The sequence below is a fragment of the Homo sapiens genome, chromosome 6 (genome assembly GCF_000001405.40).
Source record: "Homo sapiens chromosome 6, GRCh38.p14 Primary Assembly".
NCBI lineage: Eukaryota > Metazoa > Chordata > Mammalia > Primates > Hominidae > Homo > Homo sapiens.
Window position 1 is genome coordinate 17,994,389 of NC_000006.12, and position 15,813 is coordinate 18,010,201.

Here is a 15,813-nt window from a genome sequence, read left to right on the forward strand (position 1 = left end):
ACCGGTAAAAAGTAAAGAGACAATTTAAGCAGCTTGCCCAAGGTCACATACCTGGGAAGTGATGGCCTTGGGATTTAAATGCAGGTCTTCAAAAACCACAGCTCTCACTTCCACACTGTGACTGCTTCAGATGTGTTTTCCGAAATAAAGCTGCCGACCTACATAATTGGAATGTGCACGTGAGTGGTTTTTCTAAGGGTGATAATGGATTTGCCTTGACTCGTCTCTATTTTTCTGGCACAAAAAATATAAGCAATATAAACAACACTAAATATTATGCTTTACAGTTCAATGCAATATGTAGTCTCCACAAAAGAGTTACAAAATTTATGGGAGATAGAAAAGATGATAATCCTTTTGACAGAAGTAAGGGGTAGGCCACACACAGTGGCTCATGCCTATAATCCCAGCACGTTGGGAGTTTGAGGCGGGTGGATCACCTGAGGTCAGGAGTTCAAGACCAGCCTGGCCAACATGGTGAAACTCTGTCTCTACTAAAAATACAAAAATTAGCTGGGCGTGGTGGTACACACCTGTAGTCTCAGCTACTCAGGAGGCTGAGGCAGGAGAATTGCTTGAACCCAGGAGGCAGAGGTTTCAGTGAGCTGAGATCATACCGCTGCATTCAAGCCTGGGTGACAGAGCAAGACTCCGTCTCCAAAAAAAAAAAAAAAAAAGTAAGGGGTAAAGGAAATTGGGCTCAGAGTAGCAGAGTAGGAAAAGCAGACTTTGATGTCAGACCCACTGTGGTTTGTTTTCCAGCCTCTGTAACTCTTTTTTTTTTTGAAGGGTCTTACTCTGTTGCCTAGGCTGGAATACCGTGGCACAATCTCAGCTCACCGCAACCTCGACCTCCCAGGCTCAAGTGATCCTCCCACTTCAGCCTCCCGAGTACCTGAGACTACAGGTGCATGCCAGTACACACAGCTAATTTTTGTATTTTTTTGTAGAGACAGAGTTTTGCCATGTTGGCTGGTCTTGAACTCCTGAACTCAAGTCATCCACCCACCTCACCCTTCCAAAGTGCTGGGATTACAGACATGAGCCATGGCACTCAGCTCAGCCTCTGTTAGTTACTTTCTGTGTTTACCTTGGACATGCAAGCCTTGGGTCTCTTGTATGTCAGGTGGGTATAATAATGCCCATTTTACAGGGTTCTTGTGAGGGTTAAATGAGATAATGTATGTAGAATGCCTGGTGTGGTGGCTGGCACATAGGTAACAGACATTCAACAAGTGGTAGTTGTTATTCTTACCGTTGTAGCACTTGTTATAGAGGAAAGGATAGAATTTTTTTCTTTTTTTTCTTTTTTTTTTTAGATGGAGTCTCACTCTGTCACCGAGGCTGGAGTGTAGTGGTGTGATCTTGTGTCACTGCAACCTCCACCTCCCGAGTTCAAGCGATTCTTCTGCCTCAGCCTCCCAAGTAGCTGGGACTACAGGCGCACACCACCACGCCTGGCTAATTTTTGTATTTTTAGTAGAGACAGGGTTTCACCATGTTGGCCAGGCTATTCTCGAACTCCCAACCTCAAGTGATCTGCCAGCGTTGGCCTCCCAAAGTGCTGGGATTACAGGCAATAGAATTTCAATATGAATAGCTGTGGAAGAGCAGAGACTAGCAGGAACTAAGCACGTGGGCAGGAAAACAATGAAATGCTGTGCTTTAGGAATCTAATCAAGTATTGGATACAAAAGAGTTGAACCCAGAGAAATCAGACACTGAAAATTATTTGGGAATGGACTGTCCAAGCTAGCAGTGAGGAGGGTCAGAAGCGGGGGAACAGCAGGGACAATAGTGAGGAAGAGAAGGTTCAGGACACATCTCTTGATGGAGATATCCATCTGTGCCCCAGGTTGGCAGAGCCCTCTTCCCTTGCCCTCTTCTGAGCAAGACAAGCAACTGATCAGAATAGGGTCTGTGGTCTCTAACAATGCACAGACCCATAAGCCAGCCTCATAAGCACGATAACCTCCCCAGGATCCCACACCTGGCTGACCATCCTTTGGAACCAGCTAAAGCACAGATTCCAGAATCTTCCCTCAGGCAGAGGTTTAGGAGGTCTGGGCTGGCCTGATTCTGAAGTAGCCCATGCCTGGACTGGCATTTAGGAATAGCTTGACTAGGCTCCAGCCCACATTGTGATGAGAGAGGGATTGTCCCTGGCTGTTGTATAACCTTGGAATCATTTGGAACTAGCCAAAACTAAAACAAAGTGAGAAGAAAGAAGAAGGCCAAAACGAAACATAGGCCTTTCCTGAGGGATTTATCCATATGTGAAGACTTCAGATTGGAAATTGTAAGAACTCAGCTGCTCCTAAGGAGTGCAGGGGACCAAGTCAACTTTAGCTTTTATTCTACAGACAACATGGGTAGAAAGTAGAAAAGCTCCTTGTATCCATCTGCCAGTGAATCCATTCATTTATCAAATGTGTACTGAGTGGCAGCATCTGAGGTACTGTGAGAGTTGCTGGGAATTCAGAAACAGCACTTTCTCCGCCCTCAAGGGGTTTCCAGGCAAGGGAGGACAGCCAGATGCAATCTAAAGTGGGACACACTCTGGCAGTTGTGTGAACCAGGTTGGTGGGAAGTGACAATTCCCATCTTGAGGGAGACTTCACATTGGAGAGGTCATTCGAGCTGGATCTTAAAGGTTCAGCGGGTAGTTTGCCAAGCAGAGAAAGAGAATGCCTTAATCACGTATCACTGAGTTGGAAGACACAGACGAACTCAAACTAGCTGAAGCGAAAAGAGAAGTACATTGGAAGAACACATCCTTGAGAAGTTACCACATCTCATGAAGGGCTGTAGCCAGGGTCTAGAAAGTTGGGAATTTAAGTTACTACCTTCTTTTTTTTTCAGCTCTGTGGTCTTTCATCCCATTCTCTGTGTTTAATTTCTTCTTCTTCTCTCTCTCTACACGAGTTTTGTTGTCTTTCTCTGTACACATAATGAAAAATTACCACCTCAGACCCCTTTGCTTATGTCCTTGTTCCATGTCCCAATGATAGCCAACCAAGCAGAGGTTAGCTATCATTGTCTTGTCTTCTAAGTGAACACAGGTTCCATTAAAGTCAGAACTTGTTGGGGGTGCAGGAGGGGTTCCTGATAAAGAGGGAAGAAACAGAAGAATCAAAAGTTTTGACAGTCTGGCCAGGTGCAGTGGCTCACACCTGCAATCCCAGCACTTTGGGAGGCAGAGGTGGATGGATCACCTGAGGTCAGGTGTTCGAGACCAGCCTGGCCAACATGGTGAAACCCCGTCTCTACTAAAAATACAAATAATTAGCCAGGCATGGTGGTGGGCTCTAGTAATCCCAGCTACTCGGAGGCTGAGGCAAGAGAATTGCTTGAACCCAGAGGGCAGAGGTTGCAGTGAGCTGAGCTCAAGCCATCACACTCCAACCTGGGTGACAGAGCAAGACTCTGTCTCAAAAAAAAAAAAAAAAGTGTTGACAGACTGAAGAAAATGCTGGGTCAACTGAGCACATGGGATGAGCATACAGGGGAGAGACAGTGATCAGCAGAGTGGAGGAGGGAGAGGAGGGAGAGAGTCACGGGTGGTGGGACACTGAGAAAAGAAGGAGGGAATTTGGTATTTTCAGGTCCTGTGTGTGGTGGGAGTTGATAGTTAACTTCCTCAGACCCACCACACTTTCTCCGCTGCTGTGGTTCATTCAGAAAGGATATTTTCTTTCATTTGGCAAAAAAATAGATACGGACTGCATCTCCACACGACCTCCAAGCATGAGATCATTCAGACTCCTGCTCCTATGATCCTACCTTCTGTTTCCCTCCAGAGGAGAACCATGTCTAATCAACCATAGGAAGTGGCCAAAAGAGGAAGCAGGAGCTTGTGGGTCCAGTGTGGAGAAGGCAAAGACTAGGCTGCTGTTCCACACCTTCAGAACACTTTGTCAGTGTTGGTTGCTGCAGGGCTGTAGCCTGGGTCTGGAAAGTTGGGAATTCAAGTTACTGTCTTCTTTTCCTGCCTTCTTTTCTCTTTGGCTAGTTTGAATTCATCTCCATTTCTTGCAACCCAGTGATTCCTGATTAAGGCATTCTCTTTCCCTGCTTGGCAAACTACCCTGTGAACTTTTTGGATCCAGCTCAAATGTCCTCTCCAATGTGAAGTCTCTCTCAGGATGGGAATTGCCACTTCCCACCAAACTGGTTTACACAACTCTGAGACTGTGTAGAGTAAGCACAGTCAATGACACATAAAGGCATGATGTGGAAAACATGGGGGCAAGGAATGGAGATTCTTTTGAACTATCTTGTCACCTATGAGTCATAAACAAAATGTCCTGTCCCCAGACCGTAGAAGGTTGCAGCACCTGAATGAAATGGAAGGAAAGGACAAATGACCCCAGGGAAAGTCTTGGGCTGGAAAAGCCTGTCTTTGATGCTGTTCCCAGGCCACTTTGGACACCCTGCTGCCCTGTCTCTTCCTTCTTCAGGGACTCTTGTCTGCTTCTAGACTTGTGAATAACATATACCATAACACCCTCACACAGTTCAAATATCAAATAGTGTAGAAAGATTTGTAAAATTATCAGCCACTGCCCATCCTTTTCTCCCTCCTGTCCTAGCCCTCCGGAGCAAGCACTTTTTAAAAAAGTTTATTTAACTTTATTTATTTATTTTAGAACTGAACTCTTGCAGGCCGGGCGCGGTGGCTCACGCCTGTAATCCCAGCACTTTGGGAGGCCGAGGCGGGCGGATCACGAGGTCAGGAGATCAAGACCATCCCGGCTAAAACGGTGAAACCCCGTCTCTACTAAAAATACAAAAAATTAGCCGGGCGTAGTGGCGGGCGCCTGTAGTCCCAGCTACTCGGGAGGCTGAGGCAGGAGAATGGCGTGAACCCGGGAAGCGGAGCTTGCAGTGAGCCGAGATCCTGCCACTGCACTCCAGCCTGGGCGACAGAGCGAGACTCCGTCTCAAAAAAAAAAAAAAAAAAAAAAAAGAAATGAACTCTTGCTATGTTGCCCAGGAGGGTCTCTTAAGTTCTAGCTTCAAGCAGTCCTCCCTAAGGGTTGAGATTACAGGCATGAGCCACCGTGCCTGGTCTGGAGCAACCACTTTTAACCTTACGTACCTGCTCTGTGCACGACACTGGGCAAGTTACACACGTTCTCTATACCTCAGATTCCTCATCCACAAAATGTCACTAATAATACGACTCCTTTGCAGTTTTATTACTATTATCTCATTTATGAAATGAGATAATCTCCTAGTCAGCATTTTCCCGAGAAACAAAAACAATAGGATATAAAGAGATTTATTATAAGGAATTGGTTCACACAAATATGGAGGCTGAGAAATGCCACTATCTGCCATCTGCAAGCTGGAGAACCTGGAAAGCTGGTGGTTTAATTACAGACCAAGTCTGAAGTTCTGAGAACCAGTAGCACTAATGACGTGAGTCCCAGTCCGAGGGCAGGAGAAGACTGATGTCTCAGCTCAAGCAGCCAGGCAGAGAGTGGATTCAGCCTTCCTCTGCCTTTTTTTGTTCTATTGAGACCCTGAACAGATTGGGTAGTGCCCACACACTTTGGTGAGGTCCATCTGTGTTACTCAGTCTACCAAATGCTAATCTCATCCAAACACACGCTCACAGACACACTCAGAAATCATGTTTAACCAAATATTTGGCACCTCATGACACAGTCAAGTTGACACATAAAATTAATGATCACCATCACACCATGTAGAGTGACTAGCATTGTGCCTTCACACAGTAAGCATTAATGTTAGCTTTCATTATCACAGTGTGTTTTAATCCATTAGTTTGTTTGTTCCCCCATTGGACTGTTTCTTAAGGAATTAGCCAATGACACAATTCAATAGCATAGAACAAAATAACCTGATTAAAAATGGACAAAGATTAGCCAGGCACGGTGATATGCACTTGTAGTCCCAGCTACTTGGGAGGGCTGAGGCAGGAGGATCCCTTAAGCCCAGGAATTTGAGGCTGCAGTGAGTTAATGATCACACTACTGTGCTCCAGCTTGCTGTGTGACAGAGACCCCATCTAAAAAAAAAAGGCGAGGGCAAAGGACCTGAATATGAATAGACACTTTCCCAAAAAAGACATACAGAGGACTAGGTGTATGAAAATGAAAAGGTGTTCAACATTACTAATCATCAGGGAAATGCAAATCACAGCCACAGTGACATATCACCTCACACTTGTTAGGACAGTTGTTATCAAAAAGAAAAGATATAAGTGTTGGTGAGGATGTAAAGAAAAGGAAACCCTTGTATACTGTTGGTGGGAAGGTAGATTGGCATAGCCATTATGGAAAACAGTAGTAGGAAGGCTTCTCAGAAAATTAACAGTGGAACTACCATATGATCCAGCAATCTCACTTTTGGGTATATATCCAAAGAAAATAAAATCAGTATGTTGGTCAGGCACAGTGTCTCCTCCCTGTAATCCCAGCACTTTGGGAGGTCACTTTGGGCAGATCACTTGAGGCCAGGAGTTTGAGACCAGCCTGGGCAACATGGCGAAACCCTGTCTCTACAAAAAATACAAACATTAGCCGGGTGTGGTGGCGCACACCTATAATCCCAGCTATTCTGGAGGCTGAGGCATGAGAATCGCTTGAACCCAGGAGGCAGAGGCTGCAGTGAGAGTGAGCCGAGATCGCACCACTGCATTCCAGCCTGGGTGACAGAGCTAGACTCTGTCTCAAAAAAATTAAAATAAAATAAAATAAAATAAAATAAAATAAAATAAAATCAGTATGTTGAAGAGATATCTGCACTCCCATGTTCATTACGGCGTTGTTCACAGTAACCAAAATGTGGAAATGTAAGTGTCCATTGATGGCTGAATAGATACACACACACACACACACACACACACACACACACACAGTTGAATCACATTCAGCCATAACAAAGAAGAAAATCCTGCCATTTGTGACAACATGGATGAACCTGGAGGACGTTATGTGCTAAGTGAAATAAGCTAGACACAGAAAGAAATATTGTCTTATATGTGGAATCTAAAAAAGTTGAACTCTGTCAGGCATGGTAGCTTATGCCTATAATCTCAGCAATTTGGGAGGCCAAGGTGAGTGGATCACTTGAGCTCAGAAGTTCGAGACTAGCCTGGGCAACAGGGTGAAACCCCCAAAAATAGAAAAAAAATACAAAAACTAGCCGGGTGTGGTGGCATGTGCCTGTAGTCCTAGCTACTTGGGAGGCTGAGGTGGGAGGATGACTTGAGCCCAGGAGGTGGAGCTTTCAGTGAGCCATGATTAAGTCACTGCACTCCATCCTGGGCAACAGAGCCAGACCCTGTCTCAAAAAATACATAAATAAAAATTAAAAAATTAAAAAGTTAAACTAATAAAAGCAGAGTCAAATGGTGGTTGCTAAGGGTCTGGGGATAGAGGAAATAGATGGATCCATTCATCCATCGATGGACATTTAGGTTTCCATATTCGGTCAAAGGGTACAAACTCCATTTATAAAGATGAATAAGTTCTGAGGGTCCGATGAATAGCATGGTTGCTGTGGTTAATAATGCTGTAGTGTTTACCTGAAATTTTCTAAGAGAGCAGATCTTAAAGTGTACTCACCACACACACATACACTCACACACAATGGTAATTATGTGTGGTAATGGATGTGTTAATTAATCTGTTTATGGTAATCATTACACAATGTGTACGATACACCTTGAATTTTAATTTGTGAATTATACCTCAGTAAAGCTGGGAGAAAAAGAATTCAAGTGTGTAAAGTGGCAGGCACATGGAAGGAACCAAGTAAAAAGTACTCATTTTATTATTACTGTTGTTGAAGATGGTAGGAAACTTCCTCTGCTCATCTGAATATCTCCAATCCATGGCACAGAACTTGACACCTAGTACCATCTCAATGGAAGTTTCACGGAATGAATTAATTGAATAATTGGGTCTCTGTTCTTATCAAAATACTCAGCAGCAAAGTATATGCACGGATTACTGTGATGTTCCCAATTTTTTTTCCTTCAGAGCCTGTGACACATTCTGGTAAGCATTCTCAGCACTGGCAGGTCTTCATCCATCACCTAATCCTGGTATTTTCAAGCTGGAGGGAAACTTAGAGATTATTTAATCCAATCGTGTTGCCTTAGACAGATAAATCTAAGACATCACTAAGGTCACATAGTTGGTCAGTAACAAATCAAGAAAGACTGGCTTCATAGCATAAGTGATTTTTTTTTTTTTTTTTTTGAGTGAGAGTCTCGCTTTGTCACTCTGTCACCCAGGCTGGAGTGCAGTGGTTCGATCTTGGCTCACTGCAACCTCCGCTTCCCAGGTTCAAGAGGTTCTCCTGCCTCAGCCTCAGCTGGGATTACAGGGTGCACCACCATGCCTGGCTAATTTTTGTACTGTTAGTAGAGACAAGGTTTCACCATGTTGACCAGGCTGGTCTCGAACTCCTGGCCTCAAGTGATCCACCTGCCTCAGCCTCCCAAAGTGCTGGAATTATAGGCATAAGCCACCAGGCCTGGCCTGCATAAGTAATTTAAAGTCATTTGCAGTTAAGTCTGGCAGTAACATGAGTGAATCAGCTGGGAAATATGGGTTGGTCCAAAATCAAGGTGTGCGTGAAAACAAACCAGACTGCCCTGCTCTCAGGGCGGTGAAGGTGATCTGAAAGAAGAGCCCCCACTACCCAGTGCGGAGATGCCATCACTGCTATGTGAGTTGCCTCCCAAGATGGCTGCTTTGAAGGAGAGTATCCAAACAGGCTTCACCAGCTCCCTGCCATGGTCACAAGTTTTTTTCTTTTTTCTTTTACTTTCTTTTTTTGTCAGTCAATCAGCTGACTATATTGACAAGATACTGATTGGTTCCACATTGAAGAAAACATACAATACAAAATACAGGCCAGGCGCAGTGACTTATGCCTGTAATCCCAGCACTTTGGGAGGCCCAGGTGGGTGCATCCACTGAGGTCACCAGTTTGAGAACAGCCTGGCTAACACGGTGAAACCCCGTCCCTACTAAAAATAGAGGCTGGGCCCAGTGGCTCACACCTATAATCCCAGCACTTTGGGAGGCCCAGGTGGGCGGATCACCTGAGGTCACCAGTTTGAGCCCAGCCTGGCTAACATGGTGAAACCCCGTCTCTATTAAAAATAGAGGCTGGGCCCAGTGGCTCACGCCTATAATCCCAGCACTTTGGGAGGCCAAGGAGGGTGGATCACCTGAGGTCTGGAGTTTGAGGCCAGCCTGGCCAACACGGTGAGACCCCGTCTCTACTAAAAATACAAAAATTAGCTGGGTGTGGTGGTGGGCACCTCTAATCCCAGCTGCTTGGGAGGCTGAGGCAGAAGAATTGCTTGAACCCGGGAGGTGGGGGTTGCAGTGAGCCGAGATCGTGCCACTGCACTCCAACCTAGGTGACGAGAGCGAAACTCCGTCTCAAAAAAATAGAATAAAAAAAATAAAAATATAAAAATTAGCAGGGTGTGGTGACACACACCTATAGTCCTAGCTACTCAGGAGGCTGAGGCAGGAGAATGGCTTGAACCTGTGAGGTGGAGGTTGCAGTGAGCCAATATCGTGCCACTACAGAGTGAGACTCCATCTCAAAAAAAACAAACAAAAACAAAAACAAAAAAAAACACAGAAAAAGTTGGTTCTATCCCCTCTCACTCCCCTCCCTCCCCATCCACCCCCAAATATTCATCATGGTGGCCGGGGAAGGTGGCTCAGGCCTGTAATCCCCACACTTTGGGAGGCTTCAGTGGGCAGATGGCTTGAGCTCAGGAGTTTGAGACCAGCTTGGGCAACACACCGAAACCTCGTCTCTACAAAAAAAAAAAAAAAAAAAAAAAAAAATAGCTGGGCTTGATTTGGTCAGAATAGGGCTCAGAGCCAGAGGTCAGGGTGACCGAGATGGAGGGGTTGTGGGCAATGGGCTCATGGATGTCGAGGTGTTTTTTTTAAAGACTCCTTTCCCAAGAGGTTGCAGACCTAGAGAACTGAAGCAATCTGACTCAACATCAGCTCTCAACATTTTGCTTCTGAGTCTCTGCCAGGCTTTCTACCCACCGCTTCCAACGTGATGCTCTGAAGACTTGCGCAGCTCAGGCTCCTTTTCTAAATTCCAGAACACTGAAAATGATGTGAGTGAATCTTTTCATTTTTTCTAAGGTTGGTACATAATGAGCACCACTCTGAATGCACAGTAGAGAAGTTAATTCATTAGAACAGTGGATGCCATGGGGCATCAGGGCTTAATTCTCTTGTGGAACCTGGTGGAGAAAGGACCCAGTGGGTTCTTCCTTTAATTCCCAATCTGTCATACTCTAGTGTGTCTTTGCTCCATGCCATTGAAGATATCAGTGCACCCTGCTCACCCCCGACTCCTGGCTCCCTCCAGCCTCACTGGGGATGTGCGGGCGGGGCAATGCTCTTGTCAGTAAAGGAATACTGATACATTTGGGTTTTTAAAAAATGGTCTTCTTTTCTTTTTCTTTTTTGAGACACAGTTTCACTCTGTCACCCACGCTGGAGTGCAGTGGCACAATCTCAGCTCACTGCAACCTCTGCCTCCCGGGTTCAAGTGATTGTCCTGCCTCAGCCTCCCAGTTAGCTGGAATTACAGGCGCCCACCACCATGCCCAGCTAATTTTTGTAGTTGAATTAGAGATGGGGTTTTGCCATGTTGGCCAGGCTGGTCTCAAACTCCTGACCTTAAGTGATCCCCCCCACCTCAGCCTCCCAAAGTGTTGGGAGCAGTGTGAGCCACTGCGCCTGGGTGAAAAAAAAATGTTTTTCTTTTAGTCATGTTAATATGAGGACAGATAACTAGGGAAAATAACAAACTAATCTTGTTTGGAATTTAAGGCAGCTGTGACTAATTAATGCATTAATTCCTGAAAATGAAAAGGCCTTCTTTGCTTCAGGATTCAGGATTCAAAATTCATGATTCAAGGTTCAGGATGTGAGTCCGCTCTTTTGAACTATGATTCCTAACCTCCTAGGCCCTCATTAAACACTTCTGCAGATCTTTGCCTGCACGGAGTATAGTTGTCTTCCAGAAAGTCTTCAAGATGAAAGGAAAACAATAACCTGCAAAATCTTTCTCCAGGGAAAGCGCCTTCATGTGAGCTAGGAGGAGTTCCAGTTTCCACATGAAGCGCTTGCTGATGGACAGTTAATTTCCCTGCTCACTGGCTCTGCTTTCCAGGTAGCACTGCAGGTATCACTTTATAATTTTAAAAAGCATTTCTTGAAGACCTTGGCAAAATTCTGAGACGAGTGGAAGAAATATGCCTCTAAAAATGACTGTTCCGTTTTGAACAAGGAAATCCTACATTTTTGTAAAGGGAGGAATGTTCTGTAATGGCAGCAAACAGATGTGTTTCCAAAAATAGATTGTAAGGCAGCGCTTATAAGGCTATTGAGAACCTTGGTTGTTACGTGAATGCTTTCTCAAAAAAACCTAAAAAAAAGTTCAGCCACTTAAGTGACCTTAAAAAAGCCTTAGCTAGGCAGGAGAATGGTGTGAACCCGGGAGGCGGAGGTTGCAGTGAGCCGAGATCGCACCACTGCACTCCAGCCTGGGCGACAGAGCAAGACTCCGTCTCAAAAAAAAAAAAAAAAAAAGCCTTAGCTGTGTGTGTGTGTGTGTGTGTGTGTGTGTGTGTGTGTGTGTGTGTGTTTATCCTCCACAGTCCGTGCAATGACAGCAAATTTTCCTGTAAGAGCTTTTTAAAGATGTTATTTTAATATTTAAATATATATATATTTTTAATAGAGACAAGGTCTCACTATCTTGCCTGGGCTGGTCTCGAACTTCTGAGCTCAAGGGATCCTCCTGCCTGGGCCTCCCAAAGTACTGGGATTACAGGCATGGGCCACCATGCCTGGCCCTGGAAGAGCTTTTAATAAAAACTTGCTGGGCATGGTGGCTTACCGAGGCAGGCGGATCACCTGAGGTCAGGAGTTTGAGACCAGGCTGGCCAACATGGTGAAACCCTGTCTCTACTAAAAGTACAAAAATTAGCCAGGCGTGGTGGTGGCGCCTGCAATCCCAGCTGCTCAGGAGGCTGAGGCAGGAGAATCACCTGAACCCGGGGGGTGGAGGTTGCAGTGAGCGGAGATCGAGCCACTTCACTCCAACCTGGGCGAAAGAGTGAAACTCTGTTTCAAAAAAAAAAAAAAAAAAAAAAGATTATGACACAGTTTGACAGATTGAGACACAGTTTCACTCTGTCACCCAGGCTGGAGTGCAGTGGCACGATCTCAGCTCACTGCAACCTCTGCCTCCCGGGTTCAAGTGATTGTACTGCCTCAGCCTCCCAGTTAGCTGGAATTACAGGCGCCCTGTAATTATGTAAAAGCATTTTACATAATGTTGTAAAATTATGTAATTATGTAAAAGCAGCTAAATGTCAATTATTAATGTAAGTGATTGTTATTTTGGAGTTTATTATAATTTTTTCTTTTTTTTTTTTTTGAGACAGAGTTTTCCTCTGCTGCCCAGACTGGAGTGCAGTGGCATGACCTCGGCTCACTGCAACCTCCGCCTCCCGGGATCAAGTGATTCTCCTGCCTCAGCCTCCGGAATAGCTGGGATTACAGGCATGCAGCACCATGCCTGGCTAATTTTTTGCATTTTTAGTAGAGACAGGGTTTCACCATGTTGGCCAGGCTGGTCTCAAACTCTTGACCTCAAGTGATCCGCCTGCCTCGGCCTCCCAAAGTGCTGGGATTACAGACGCGAGCCACCACACCCGGCCCTATAATATTGTTTTGATTTATAAATGTTTAAAAATATTTTATCATATAGTTCTAAAAAAATAAAAATAGGCTTGGCGCGGTGGCTCACGCCTGTAATCCCAGCACTTTAGGAGGCTGAGGCAGGTGGATCACGAGGTCAGGAGATCGAGACCATCCTGGTTAACATGGTGAAAACCCATCTCTACTAAAAATACAAAAAATTAGCCAGGCTAGTGGCGGGCGCCTGTAGTCCCAGCTACCTGGGAGGCTGAAGCAGGGGAATGGCGTGAACCCGGGAAGCAGAGCTTGCAGTGAGCCGAGATCGTGCCAGGGCACTCCAGCCTGGGTGACAGAGCAAGACTCTGTCTCAAAAAATAAAATAAAATAAAAATAAGTACAAATACAAATTTTAAGGCTGGGCATGGTGGCTCACACCTGTAATCCCAGCACTTTGGGAGGCCAAAGCCGGGGGGAGTGCTCAAGCCCAGGAGTTTGAGACCATCCTGGGCAACACAGAGACACCTTGTCTCTACAAAAAAATTAAAACATTAGCCAGGTGTGGTGGTGCATGCCTATATTTCCAGCTACTCAGGAGGCTGAAGTTGGAGGATTGCTTGAGCCCAGGAGGTTGAGGCTGCAGTGAGCGTGATCATACCACTACACTCCAGTCTGGACAAATTTAAAATTTTTTGAAGAGAAACTCTAATGCTGTATACCAATAAGTAATTTCTCACAAAAGAAACAGATGCATGTTGCAAGTGAAAATAATACTCAATGAAGCTGAAGTAGATTGTTTGTAAGCCTAGTGAAAAGCAAATTTTTTCAATGAATGTTGACAATAATTCATAATCAGACACAATGTTGGTATTTAACATGAGCATGAGCATGATAAAGAAATCAAGTTAAAACACAAAATGTTTTACTTACATTTATTCTTAATCTCAAAATGTACTTTTAGATTTAAAATGCACTTAATCTCAAAATGTACTTTTAGATTTTGAAAAAGTTTTAGTTTTTTAAAAATTGTAATAAAAATTGATCTTATCCATTTAAATGAACTATAATCTGAATACTAGTTGATTAAAAAATGAGTTAAATTTACAAATTATTTATATGAAGGAATAATTCCTATAAATTGTAGGAATTGCATGATTCCTACAAATCAGGATCGAGATTGCTTCATTTGTGGCTGTCATAGTAATGACAGGATCCCATACAGAGCTGTGTGTTACTATTTGGGTTTCGATGTGTCTCAGGTCATGTTGTCTCTGAGGATGCTAACAGAAGAATGCTTTCTCATGACCGACTTCAACAGCAGGCACTTTGCATAGATTTAACTATAGTGCAGATTTGAGTTTAGTCACAGCATTACTCTGGCCACCATTGGAGTACAGGCACATCTAAAATGTTTTCTGACGGTCTATTAGAACCAGTCTTAAAAACATGTATTTGAAAGTGAAGCTCAAGAGCCTCCTGGGCCAGAACTCACTCTAAGGATAGAAGAGACCAGACATAAAGACTTGATCATTGGAAGACGGTGAGGATTCTGAATAGAATAGAGTGGGTTTTGCTCTAATTTTCTAATCAGTCAGGGGATCTCAAAGATGAAACCAAGGATCCCCTAAAGTCAGGATAACTTGAGGAAAGTTTGGGGACGTTTTACAAAGGTGGGTAGACAGGGAACCTCAGGGACAGTTAAAGCCAGGGGAGATTTTTGCTATACTCTGTATATGCCTGTGTGTGTGTCTGTGTGTGAAAGAGACAGACACAGATTTTTTGCAGGGATTTGACCTCCCACAGTTGTGGAAGTGATTAAGCAGGCTCTGTAAGACTTGTCTTTGTGTGTGATGCTAGAACTTGACGCCCAGGGAGTGAAGAGCTGGGAAAGATGGATGTGTAGTGTTGGGGAGCAAGAGCCGGCTGGGACCCACTGGCATGAGTTGGAGCCCCATGAGAAACTAAAATCCATGTCCATTTTTCTTAACTCTGACCTTACTGGTGTGGGTATCCTGCGGAAGTCAGGGCCTCTTGCCCAGAGCTAAACACACACCTGGCCTAGGAGGCAAAGAAGCTGAAAGGGGAGCAGTTGCAGGCTGCTGCCTCCTGGCCATGACAGCCCGCAGACTAGCAACCATACATGTGACTTTAAAAACTGCTATCACCGGGCGTAGTGGCTCACACCTGTAATCCCACCACTTTCGGAGGCCGAGGTGGGAAAACCATCTCAGGTTGGGAGTTCAAGACCAGCCTAACATGGAGAAACCCCATTTCTACTAAAAATACAAAATTAGCCAGGCTCGGTGGCGCATACCAGTAATCCCACTTACTCAAGAGCCTGAGGCAGGAGAATCCCCTGAACCCAGGAGGCAGAGATTGCAGTGAGTCGAGATCACACCACTGCACTCCAACCCGGTGTCAGAGCCACTCTCAAAAAACAAATGAAAAAACAGCTACTGCTTCCTTTCTGCTGCCAAATCTCTCACAGGAAGATTTAGAAAAGGAGTTCTGGGAAATCAGTCCTAGCCACCTTGACACATTAAAAACTCCACAGCCCTCTGCATGACTGTTTAAATACTCGATACTCAAATTCCGAAACAGGCTCAACACTACCTCCAGAATCTGGACTGATCTTTCTGGTTTCCTTTTCTTGAGATAGGATCTTATAGGCACCCAGATTTGAACGCAGTGGTGTAAACTTATTAGAACACTTAACTCCTGAGCTAAAGTAATCCTTTGGTAAATTCTTAGGTTCAAGCAATCCCCCCACGACCTCAGGCTCGCAAGTATCTTGGACTGTAGATACCTACTGCGTCCAATATTGAGTAGGTTCTTGCTTCACACTAACTTCAAGAATGGGCCGGGCGCGGTGGCTCACGCCTGTAATCCGAGCACTTTGGGAGGCCGAGGCGGGTGGATCATGAAGTCAGGAGATCGAGACCATCCTGGCTAACAAGGTGAAACCCTGCCTCTACTAAAAATACAAAAAATTAGGCGGGCGCGGTGGCGGGCGCTTGTAGTCCCAGCTACTCGGGAGGCTGAGGCAGGAGAATGGCGTGAACCTGGGAAGCGG